Source organism: Homo sapiens, chromosome 4 (genome assembly GCF_000001405.40).
Source record: "Homo sapiens chromosome 4, GRCh38.p14 Primary Assembly".
In the NCBI taxonomy this organism is placed as follows: Eukaryota; Metazoa; Chordata; class Mammalia; order Primates; family Hominidae; genus Homo; species Homo sapiens.
Window position 1 is genome coordinate 75,126,763 of NC_000004.12, and position 13,034 is coordinate 75,139,796.

Here is a 13,034-nt window from a genome sequence, read left to right on the forward strand (position 1 = left end):
GGCAACTTCACATTAAAAAGGCTGGTATGAAAATAAAAACCTAGAGGGACGAGCCAAGATGGCCGAATAGGAACAGCTCCAGTCTACAGCTCCCAGCGTGAGCAACGCAGAAGATGGGTGATTTCTGCATTTCCATCTGAGGTACCGGGCTCATCTCACTAGGGAGTGCCAGACAGTGGGCGCAGGTCAGTGGGTGCACGCACCGTGCGCGAGCCGAAGCAGGGCGAGGCATTGCCTCACTTGGGAAGTGCAAGGGATCAGGGAGTTCCCTTTCCGAGTCAAAGAAAGGGGTGACGGACTCACCTGGAAAATCAGGTCACTCCCACCCGAATATTGCGCTTTTCAGACCGGCTTAAAAAAATGGCTCACCATGAGATTACATCCCACACCTGGCTCGTAGGGTCCTACGCCCACGGAGTCTCGCTGATTGCTAGCACAGCAGTCTGAGATCAAACTGCAAGGCGGCAGCGAGGCTGGGGGAGGGGCGCCCGCCATTGCCCAGGCTTGCTTAGGTAAACAAAGCAGCCAGGAAGCTCCAACTGGGTGGAGCCCACCACAGCTCAAGGAGGCCTGCCTGCCTCTGTAGGCTCCATCTCTGGGGGCAGGGCACAGACAAACAAAAAGACAGCAGTAACCTCTGCAGACTTAAATGTCCCTGTCTGACAGCTTTGAAGAGAGCAGTGGTTCTCCCAGCACGCAGCTGGAGATCTGAGAACGGGCAGACTGCCTCCTCAAGTGGGTCCCTGACCCCTGACCCCTGAGCAGCCTAACTGGGAGGCACCCCCCAGCAGGGGCACACTGACACTTCACACTGCAGGGTATTCCAACAGACCTGCAGCTGAGGGTCCTGTCTGTTAGAAGGAAAACTAACAAACAGAAAGGACATCCACACCAAAAACCCATCTGTACATCACCATCATCAAAGACAAAAAGTAGATAAAACTACAAAGATGGGGAAAAAACAGAACAGAAAAACGGGAAACCCTAAAACGCAGAGCGCTTCTCCTCCTCCAAAGGAACGCAGTTCCTCACCAGCAACGGAACAAAGCTGGATGGAGAATGACTTTGACGAGCTGAGAGAAGAAGGCTTCAGACGATCAAATTACTCTGAGCTACGGGAGGACATTCAAACCAAAGGCAAAGAAGTTGAAAACTTTGAAAAAAATCTAGAAGAATGTATAACTAGAATAAGCAATACAGAGAAGTGCTTAAAGGAGCTGATGGAGCTGAAAACCAAGGCTCGAGAACTACGTGAAGAATGCAGAAGCCTCAGGAGCCGATGTGATCAACTGGAAGAAAGGGTATCAGCGATGGAAGATGAAATGAATGAAATGAAGCGAGAAGGGAAGTTTAGAGAAAAAAGAATAAAAAGAAATGAGCAAAGCCTCCAAGAAATATGGGACGATGTGAAAAGACCAAATCTACGTCTGATTGGTGTACCTGAAAGTGATGGGGAGAATGGAACCAAGTTGGAAAACACTCTGCAGGATATTATCCAGGAGAACTTCCCCAATCTAGCAAGGCAGGCCAACGTTCAGATTCAGGAAATACAGAGAACGCCACAAAGATACTCCTCGAGAAGAGCAACTCCAAGACACATAATTGTCAGATTCACCAAAGTTGAAATGAAGGAAAAAATGTTAAGGGCAGCCAGAGAGAAAGGTCGGGTTACCCTCAAAGGGAAGTCCATCAGACTAACAGCAGATCTCTCGGCAGAAACCCTACAAGCCAGAAGAGAGTGGGGGCCAATATTCAACATTCTTAAAGAAAAGAATTTTCAACCCAGAATTTCATATCCAGCCAAACTAAGCTTCATAAGTGAAGGAGAAATAAAATACTTTACAGACAAGCAAATGCTGAGAGATTTTGTCACCACCAGGCCTGCCCTAAAAGAGCTCCTGAAGGAAGCGCTAAACATGGAAAGGAACAACCGGTACCAGCCGCTGCAAAATCATGCCAAAATGTAAAGACCATCGAGACTAGGAAGAAACTGCATCAACTAACGAGCAAAATAACCAGCTAACATCATAATGACAGGATCAAATTCACACATAACCATATTAACTGTAAATGTAAATGGACTAAATGCTCCAATTAAAAGACACAGACTGGCAAATTGGATAAAGAGTCAAGACCCGTCAGTGTGCTGTATTCAGGAAACCCATCTCACATGCAGAGACACACATAGGCTCAAACTAAAAGGATGGAGGAAGATCTTCCAAGCAAATGGAAAACAAAAAAAGGCAGGGGTTGCAATCCTAGTCTCTGATAAAACAGACTTTAAACCAACAAAGATCAAAAGAGACAAAGAAGGCCATTACATAATGGTAAAGGGATCAATTCAACAAGAAGAGCTAACTATCCTAAATATATATGCACCCAATACAGGAGCACCCAGATTCATAAAGCAAGTCCTGAGTGACTTACAAAGAGACTTAGACTCCCACGCATTAATAATGGGAGACTTTAACACCCCACTGTCAACATTAGACAGATCAATGAGACAGAAAGTCAACAAGGATACCCAGGAATTGAACTCAGCTCTGCACCAAGCGGACCTAATAGACATCTACAGAACTCTCCACCCCAAATCAACAGAATATACATTTTTTTCAGCAACACACCACACCTATTCCAAAATTGACCACATACTCGGAAGTAAAGCTCTCCTCAGCAAATGTAAAAGAACAGAGATTATAACAAACTATCTCTCAGACCACAGTGCTATCAAACAAGAACTCAGAATTAAGAATCTCACTCAAAACCGCTCAACTACATGGAAACTGAACAACCTGCTCCTGAATGACTACTGGATACATAACGAAATGAAGGCAGAAATAAAGATGTTCTTTGAAACCAACGAGAACAAAGACACAACATACCAGAATCTCTGGGACGCATTCAAAGCAGTGTGTAGAGGGAAATTTATAGCACTAAGTGCCCACAAGAGAAAGCAGGAAAGATCCAAAATTGAGACCCTAACATCACAATTAAAAGAACTAGAAAAGCAAGAACAAACACATTCAAAAGCTAGCAGAAGGCAAGAAATAACTAAAATCAGAGCAAAACTGAAGAAAATAGAGACACAAAAAACCCTTCAAAAACTTAACAAATCCAGGAGCTGGTTTTTTGAAAGGATCAACAAAATTGATAGACTGCTAGCAAGACTAATGAAGAAAAAAAGAGAGAAGAATCAAATAGACACAATAAAAAATGATAAAGGGGATATCACCACCAATCCCACAGAAATATAAACTACCATCAGAGAATACTACAAACACCTCTATGCAAATAAACTAGAAAATCTAGAAGAAATGGATAAATTCCTCGACACATACACTCTCCCAAGACTAAACCAGGAAGAAGCTGAATCTCTGAATAGACCAATAACAGGAGCTGAAATTGTGGCAATAATCAATAGTTTACCAACCTGAAAGAGTCCAGGACCAGATGGATTCACAGCCAAATTCTACCAGAGGTACAAGGAGGAACTGGTACCATTCCTTCTGAAACTATTCCAATCAATAGAAAAGGAGGGAATTCTCCCTAACTCATTTTATGAGGCCAGCATCATTCTGATACCAAAGCCGGGCAGAGACACAACCAAAAAAGAGAATTTTAGACCAATATCCTTGATGAACATTGATGCAAAAATCCTCAATAAAATACTGGCAAAACGAATCCAGCAGCACATCAAAAAGCTTATCCACCATGATCAAGTGGGCTTCATCCCTGGGATGCAAGGCTGGTTCAATATACGCAAATCAATAAATATAATCCAGCATATAAACAGAGCCAAAGACAAAAACCACATGATTATCTCAATAGATGCAGAAAAGGCCTTTGACAGAATTCAACAACCCTTCATGCTAAAAACTCTCAATAAATTAGGTATTGATGGGATGTATTTCAAAATAATAAGAGTTATCTATGACAAACCCACAGCCAATATCATACTGAATGGGCAAAAACTGGAAGCATTCCCTTTGAAAACTGGCACAAGACAGGGATGCCCTCTCTCACCACTCCTATTCAACATAGTGTTGGAAGTTCTGGCCAGGGCAATTAGGCAGGAGAAGGAAATAAAGGGTATTCAATTAGGAAAAGAGGAAGTCAAATTGTCCCTGTTTGCAGACGACATGATTGTATATCTAGAAAACCCCATTGTCTCAGCCCAAAATCTCCTTAAGCTGATAAGCAACTTCAGGAAAGTCTCAGGATACAAAATCAATGTACAAAAATCACAAGCATTCTTATACACCAACAACAGACAAACAGAGAGCTAAAACATGAGTGAACTCCCATTCACAATTGCTTCAAAGAGAATAAAATACCTAGGAATCCAATTTACAAGGGATGTGAAGGACCTCTTCAAGGAGAACTACAAACCACTTCTCAAGGAAATAAAAGAGGATACAAACAAATGGAAGAACATTCCATGCTCATGGGTAGGAAGAATCAATATCGTGAAAATGGCCATACTGCCCAAGGTAATTTACAGATTCAATGCCATCCCCATCAAGCTATCAATGACTTTCTTCACAGAATTGGAAAAAACTACTTTAAAGTTCATATGGAACCAAAAAAGAGCCCACATCGCCAAGGCAATCCTAAGCCAAAAGAACAAAGCTGGAGGCATCACACTACCTGACTTCAAACTATACTACAAGGCTACAGTAACCAAAACAGCGTGGTACTGGTACCAAAACAGAGATATAGATCAATGGAACAGAACAGAGCCCTCAGAAATAATGCCGCATATCTACAACTATCTGATCTTTGACAAACCTGACAAAAACAAGCAATGGGGAAAGGATTCCCTATTTAATAAATGGTGCTGGCAAAACTGGCTAGCCATATGTAGAAAGCTGAAACTGGATCCCTTCCTTACACCTTATACAAAAATCAATTCAAGATGGATTAAAGACTTAAACGTTAGACCTAAAACCATAAAAACCCTAGAAGAAAACCTAGGCATTACCATTCAGGACATAGGCATGGGCAAGGACTTCATGTCCAAAACACCAAAAGCAATGGCAATAAAAGACAAAATTGACAAATGGGATCTAATTAAACTAAAGAGCTTCTGCACAGCAAAAGAAACTACCATCAGAGTGAACAGGCAACCTACAAAATGGGAGAAAATTTTCGCAACCTACTCATCTGACAAAGGGCTAATATCCAGAATCTACAATGAACTCAAACAAATTTACAAGAAAAAAACAAACAACCCCATCAAAAAGTGGGTGAAGGATATGAACAGACACTTCTCAAAAGAAGACATTTATGCAGCCAACAGACACATGAAAAAATGCTCATCATCACTGGCCATCAGAGAAATGCAAATCAAAACCACAATGAGATACCATCTCACACCAGTTAGAATGGCAATCATTAAAAAGTCAGGAAACAACAGGTGCTGGAGAGGATGTGGAGAAATAGGAACACTTTGACACTGTTGGTGGGACTGTAAACTAGTTCAACCATTGTGGAAGTCAGTGTGGCGATTCCTCAGGGATCTAGAACTAGAAATACCATTTGACCCAGCCATCCCATTACTGGGTATATACCCAAAGGACTATAAATCATGCTGCTATAAAGACACATGCACACGTATGTTTATTGCGGCATTAATCACAATAGCAAAGACTTGGAACCAACCCAAATGTCCAACAATGATAGACTGGATTAAGAAAATGTGGCACATATACACCATGGAATACTATGCAGCCATAAAAAATGATGAGTTCATGTCCTTTGTAGGGACATGGATGAAATTGGAAATCATCATTCTCAGTAAACTATCACAAGAACAAAAAACCAAACACTGCATATTCTCACTCATAGGTGGGAATTGAACAATGAAATCACATGGACACAGGAAGGGGAATATCACACTCTGGGGACTGTGGTGGGGTGAGGGGAGGGGGGAGGGATAGCATTGGGAGATATACCTAATGCTAGATGACGAGTTAGTGGGTGCAGCGCACCAGCATGGCACATGTATACATATGTAACTAACCTGCACAATGTGCACATGTACCCTAAAACTTAAAGTATAATTAAAAAAAAAAAAGAAAATTAACAAACAAAAAAAAATTACAAGGAATGAAAAGGAAAAATAATAATAATAATAAAATAAAAACCTAGATGAATCACTGTGTTCCTTCTAGCTCCTTCTAGTCCCTTCTAATGCCTGAGATTAACCTGACTTAGCCTCAAGAGTCCATCATGCTCCTGTACAAGCCCCTTTTCCATAACCCCACATTTTCATTTTCTCCCTCTCAAGAATTCTAGGGTTCATACTACATGCATACCTCGCCTTACATTAAGGGATATATGTATATATATATATATATATATATATATATATATATATACTTTAAGTTCTGGGGCACATGTGCAGAATGTGCAGGTTTGTTACATAGATACACATGTGGCATGGTGGTTCGCTGCACCCATCAACCCATCATCTACATTAGGTATTTCTCCTAATGCTGTCCCTCCCATCGCCCCTCACCTGCAACAGGCCCCGGTGTAGGTTGTTACCCTCCCTGTGTCCATGTGTTCTCATTGTTCAACTCCCACTTTCTTAAAGGTTGTTTACCAGATTTTGCAAACTATGTTATATTGCTACTTGTTTCATTTGTCCAAAGTCGTTGTCTTATTATCTAATAGTTATTCAAATGACTGCTCTCCACCCTCCCAATACTTCAATTCCAACCCCTAGGACACATCTTTCTCCTTTCATCATAGGTTCTTCAAGTCATCTTCAAATGATTAGAACACATAAATGCAGTGGGAGGTATGGCTTTGTGACTTCCCATCTCCTAACTGACTGTCCTGAAAATGTGGAAGTTTTCTTGACACTGAGTAGACCTGCAAGTGGCCACAGGGTAAGTGCCACGCAGCCCACTAGTTTTAGCAAACTAAAATTTAGTGTAAGAATTAAAATACTTTCTTCACCTTGGAGCATTTTGTCTTTCTAATGAGTCTATCTTTAGGGTTTAAGAGTGTCAAGCCTCAACTATTTTGGGTCATTAAAAACCCAGGGCACGGTTACAGGGTGGACAGGTGCTAATTCCTCTCTTCTGGCTGCACTCCACTTTCAGTAATGGCAACTGGCACCTGCAAATCCCCTTTGTGACACTAGAATGAGATCTGAAATCATTTTGCCCTGTATAATAGCTGAGACATTGGTTCCCCGGGAAGGCTGCCTCACATGAACACAGTATTTAGCAGAGACCTCTTCTAATCATATCCCTCAGAAAACATACTGGAGGCCCTCTCTAAAGTCCATCTCACTCTCACCACAAAACAAAGGAGGCTGTGGCATCACCAAAACACCCTTGATACTGCATAGATTTCTGCTATCTTTATAATCACCTCTTCCAAGTCTCTCCAGACACAAAATGAGAAATGTCAAAATTGAATTATTCCTTCATAATTATGCTCCTTAACTTGAAAGTTAAGAAATGGCCAAGTTAAGAAAGAAATGGCCAAGATTTCCCAAGATTAGAACAGAAATATGCCACAAAAAGAGCATTAGTGTGATATATCTATACTACCCAGTAACAAAAAGGAATAAACTGTTGATACACACAATAATCCAGTGACACATTTCCAAAGTAAAAGCCAGAAACAGTGGCTCATGCCTGTAATCCCAGCACTTTGGGAAGCCAAGGCAGGAGGACAGCTTGAAACCAGGAGTTTGAGACCAGCCTGGGCAACACAGTGAGACCCTCTCTATACAAAAAAAAAAATTTACAGACTACTCAGGCATCTTGACATGCACCTGTCATTCCACCTACTCAGGAGCCGGAGGTGGGAGGATCATTTAAGCCCAGGAGTTGGAAGATGCAGTGAGCTATGATCACACCACTGCACTCCAGCCTGAGCAACAAAGTGAGACCCTTTCCCAAAAAAGAACAAATCTCCAGAGATTATGCAGAGTTTAAAAAGCCAATCTAAAAGGTTACATACTGTATGATTCCATTTGTACAACATAAAATGACAAAATTATAGAAATGGAGAACAGATTAGAGTGGTTGCCAATGGTGAAAAAGTGAATTGGGTAGGTTGAAAGTGAGTATTGCTGTAAAAGAATGGCCTGAAGCATCCTAATGGTGGAAATGTTCTGTAACCTGACAATATCAATGTCAATATCTTGGTTGTACTATATTGTACTATAGTTTTTCAAGATGTTGCCACTTGGGGAAACTGAGTAAAAGATGCAAGGGGCCTCTGTATTATTTCTTACAACTGCATATGCAACAATCTCAAAATAAAAACTTTAATTAAAAAAAAAGCATTGGATTGAGACTGACAAGACCAGGTTCTAGTTCAGGCCCTTCCCATAACAAGCATGATCCAAGTCACTCAACCTCTTTCATCCTCAATTTCAACGTCTGTGAAATGGAGTTGAACAAGTTCATCCCCAGCATCCTGAGGAGTTCTACAGCTGAGCGATATCAGAGCTGCTCTTGATTCACAACAGCCCTTGAAACAGAGGGGCCCTCTGAATAGTCAAGCTACCATGGCTGAGTGGGTAATATACTTAAATAGTCTCTATAAATACCATTTTAAAAGACACAAACCTAGCTTACATTAAACATAACATGCAACGGCATAAACAAAGAAACAATTTGAAAGAAGAAAAGCTTGAAACAAATACTACCTCATCATTAAGGTTGTGACTACTAATAAACGAGTAATGTTCTATAAAATAGCGTAATGAAACAATGTATTTTGTTTACTGTAAATCAAGACAGCTAACCAGCATTTCTACCATTTTCTTGACATTATACACCCAAATTACCCCCTCATTCCCCAGACACTTTTCATTGTCAAACTATTCTTGTTCTTAATGCCCTACCCTCTGGGGAATGGCAGTGTGCAAAACAGGAAGTCCTTTAATATAACTTACAATTTTAGAAGGGAAAAACCCAAGCACCTTATTAAGAAATGAAAATTACAATCAGTCAAATTGTTGTTTATTTTTTATGTCACCAAATAAACCAGCCTGCTTTTATACACAAGATAAACTAAATTGAGTAATTTATTTAACATCAGAAGTATAATCGGTGTTAAAATATCAACAAACTGGGTAGTCTATTATATCAAATTAGCAACCTTTTTCCTGAAAAGGGTATTTTTCAAGGTGCTTCATTTTAAAAGGAGTGCATATTATTAAAGAAAGCCACATCAAACAAACAGTAACAAAACAATGTAAAGTCACTATCATCAGCAGTATTTGAGAAAAGGAGACAGGGTTGTGGGGGTAGGTTAATCAGTGAAGATGGAACTAGATCTCATGTATTGATTGCCATAGCCAAATAACTCAAATATATTATCATTACATCTACTGAAACTACATACAATATAATTAATTCTCTTTGGATAACTCAGTGGCCATATAAAATTTGCACTCTCTCAGATAAGAATAGGCATGACCTATTCGGTGCTGCACAGTGCTGAAATGCTTGATAGATTAGATGGAACCTACCAAATCTTGTGAAAAATAAGGTGTCGCTTTAAAATTTTAAAGAATCCCCACTACCAACTTATTAGTTCCACTTATTGCTTCAATACAAATTTCCAGGCAAAACAAGGACCCTCTCAGTATTCAGCAATTGTCATTTTTCATCTAGGAATGAACAGATGTTGCCTTAATGATTTTGTCTTCTGTGCTAAAATCGTTTCTTCGCTGCCCGTATTAATTTCTCAAGATTCGTAAGCTTCACACACTATTTTTGTAATCTCATTCCTATGTGCCTATTTAACTTTTCATTACATTTAATACTTCCCTCACTTGGTCTATAGCAATCAAAAAGTTTGTCAATAAGCAAACATTTATATTGTTCCCATTATGTGAAAGACACATTATTTTCACTGCACTTACTAAGTATTGAAGAATATACTTAAATATTTTAAGAATTGATGTTTATTTATAGCTATAAGATTTATTCCCAGAAACATTCCAGTGTTTTTTCATCATTAGAAATTTTGCAAAAATAATGTTAGGCAACGATTTTCTTCTAGAAAATCCTTAAAGTGTTGAAAAAATATTCTGTGCCTGGCTTATTTGTAAAAAAAAAAGAAATCTTTAATGTGCCATTCTTAACATAATTTTAGGTATAAACAATAATAATAGAACTCTAAGCACAGCATTTTAATGACACCCCTTATTTTCCAACAGATACATGTAGCTTCCTGAAACAACTTTAATATAGCTTTTTTTCTTTTTTAAAGTGTATGACTCAATTGTGTTTGCTTGTGAAATTACTTTGCAAAGATCTTGACTCACAGATGGAGGCTCTTTGCAGTGGTTCAGTGAGAAGCACTCACAGAAAATCTTATTGGTTGTGAGGCTTTAGGCATATCCTAAGGATCACAAAACTTTATTCCTTTTTATTAACCAGATCAAAAGATTTTTATAAAATTTCTTTTTAAAATTGATTGAATCTCAAGATTAGAAATGACTTTTTTTTTTTTTTTTGGAGGAAGATCTGGCTACTTATCCAGTGCTTGAAACACTCCCACAACCCACTGCCAAATGTTCATTCATTCTCCATTTAAACAGAGAAGAAGATATAAGTTAATAGAGCATGTCTCAAATCAGAGTCACTTAAGCTGCTCCTTATAATTCAGTCCTGACCTGATCCAACTTGGGTATGCACAATTTTCAAGGTTTTAAAAATAAATATCAAAAACAAAATAAATAAATAAATAAATAAATAGATAAATAAATAAATAAATAAATATCAGGCTCCTCCAACAGTTGTAGGTGAAGGTTATGGGTTTCCTTTCCACAACCCCCCTAAAACCAAATCTCAGACTGAATCTTGGTACACACCTTAGCATTTCTTAGCAAACATTCAACACTCATACCACCAGTTTGTCAAAACCCCTTGGAGTTATAGGTGTCCATTCCTCTAAGTGCTCTAATGGACTCTTCCATGAACATCTCATTGGATGGGAAGGAAGCCACACTCCAGCTGCAAGATTCTGCTATCTAGTTAGAGACAGGAGACCAAGAAGTCTCCAAATCATCAGATGAACATAGGCCCTTGAAGACTCAAAGCTCTGGGTGCCATTCCTAAGGATACAGATCACCGAGCCAGCTGGTCTGTATTCTGCAAAGACACCAAGACTCTCTCTAGTATTTCCAGAAAATCTACAAAAAATGAAAACCACTGATTTCGGCAAGAAATCCCTAGTTCTAACATTCACTAGTGAAATTACCAAAACTTTTTATGTCAACTGGAGATAAATATAATTGAATTTCTCTGGGTCATGGCTTTTTATTAAATGTTAGCTAACTTCTCTGGAGTGGATATTTCTGATTAAAGCAACTAACCACAGTAAAGGTGTAGATTAAAACAAACACACACAAACATGTTCAAATTACATAATCTATGCTGAAGTATTTTAAAGTAAATTACCCAAGACCTGCTGATTCATAATATCTAAGCCTGAAAATCCATGTTTCTATACATGATCCTCGTGTGCTACCTATGCACACTAGAATTTTGTGAACCCCTATCACAGATGTTAAGAACAGGGGCTCTGGGGAAAACAGACTTGTGTTAGAATCCTGGCTCTTCCACTCTATAGCTATGTACCTATAAAAATTATTTAAACTCTGATTCAGTGTCCCCACATGCAAAATTGTCATAATAATGCCTAACTTACAGCGTTAGTTTAAGAGTTAACTTAGGTAATATTAATAAAGTTCTTAATACAATGCTTAGCACATATCACGTAAATGTATATAGAATACCCTGAGTTTTCACCAGGGAACACAGATCCTGAATAATGCTCTCCTGTTTTTTTATTCCTTTACATTGGAATGTTAATTACTGAATGAATTATCCAGTTGTGATCGGAGCAGGGAAGTAGTCGGTTGGAGTACCTACCTACTGAGTAGGTTGGAACTACCACCTTCCTTGTTCTGGAAAGAACTTTTGCGAATGCTAAAATCACAGCAGTTTTGTTTTGGAGATTGCATCACATGGTTGATTTAATTTAACTCTTAATTAAAATACAGAAGTATTCTTTACCCATGCTGTTGCAAAGTCAGGTTTATATGTTTTATGCTTTTTAAAAATAAGTTGTATGACTATATATTCTGTTGAATTTTATCGTGTTGGATACAAGATATATCAAGATATTTTGGGATTCTCATTATGTCATGCAACCTATCTACTCTACTCCAGTTTCATGTCATCCTTAAATATAATGAATATACCCATAATCTTTTCAAGCCTATGATCTTACAAAGTGTTGAACACACTAGAATATTCCAACCAAGTTGAAGTCATCAACCTTTGTGAGGGATTGTTTATATCAGTGGCTGGTCTCTTCAATCATTTTTACACTCAACTGCGATTTTCCAGTTTTTTTTTTTTTTTTTTTTTACAAAGATGTCGTAAATGAGAATGTGTCAGAGTCCTTGATACAAGCCACATTATACCATGTCTATCACAGTACCTTGCTCTGTCAGTCTGCCAATTTTTAAAAAGAAAATAAATAAAGTTAGTATGGCATAATTTGTTTTTATTGAAATAATGTTGGGACCTAGGAAACTCCACTTATTTTTAAAGCATCTCATCTTTATTTGTTCTGTGATACCTGACATAGTTAAGATAGGAGATATAAACTGAAACTAAATAATTCTTAATTTGTTGTTTTAAATTAAAATACACCATTGTACTTGTGCTGTCAGGAAGTACTTTTTGTTACTGCTCCTGTAGCAACCTTCAGTTATGTATTTTCCTTGTATTTTTAAATTTTTTTTATTTGTATACATTTAGGGGGTACAAACGCAGTTTGGATACATAGATATATTGCATAATGATGAAATCTTGGCTGGGCTTTTAGTATTACCACCACTCGAATAGTGTGCATTGTACCCTGCGTTTTGTTTATAGATGAAGAATAGGTTTTAACTCATGGGTCAACAAAAATTAATTGTTAATGGCTACGCAGAGCACAGTTTTGACCATAACTCTAGGTCCTATCCAGGCATAGCC

At 38.6% G+C, this 13,034-nt stretch overlaps 1 annotated feature.

Moving 5' to 3' along the window:
• Positions 317-1,013: an enhancer, noted in NCBI's record as "OCT4-NANOG-H3K27ac-H3K4me1 hESC enhancer chr4:76052289-76052985 (GRCh37/hg19 assembly coordinates)". NCBI's record gives its function as "activates a minimal SCP1, AML or CMV promoter by ChIP-STARR-seq in primed H9 embryonic stem cells {active_cell/tissue: H9 hESC(primed)}" and the evidence as "EXISTENCE:reporter gene assay evidence [ECO:0000049][PMID:30033119]".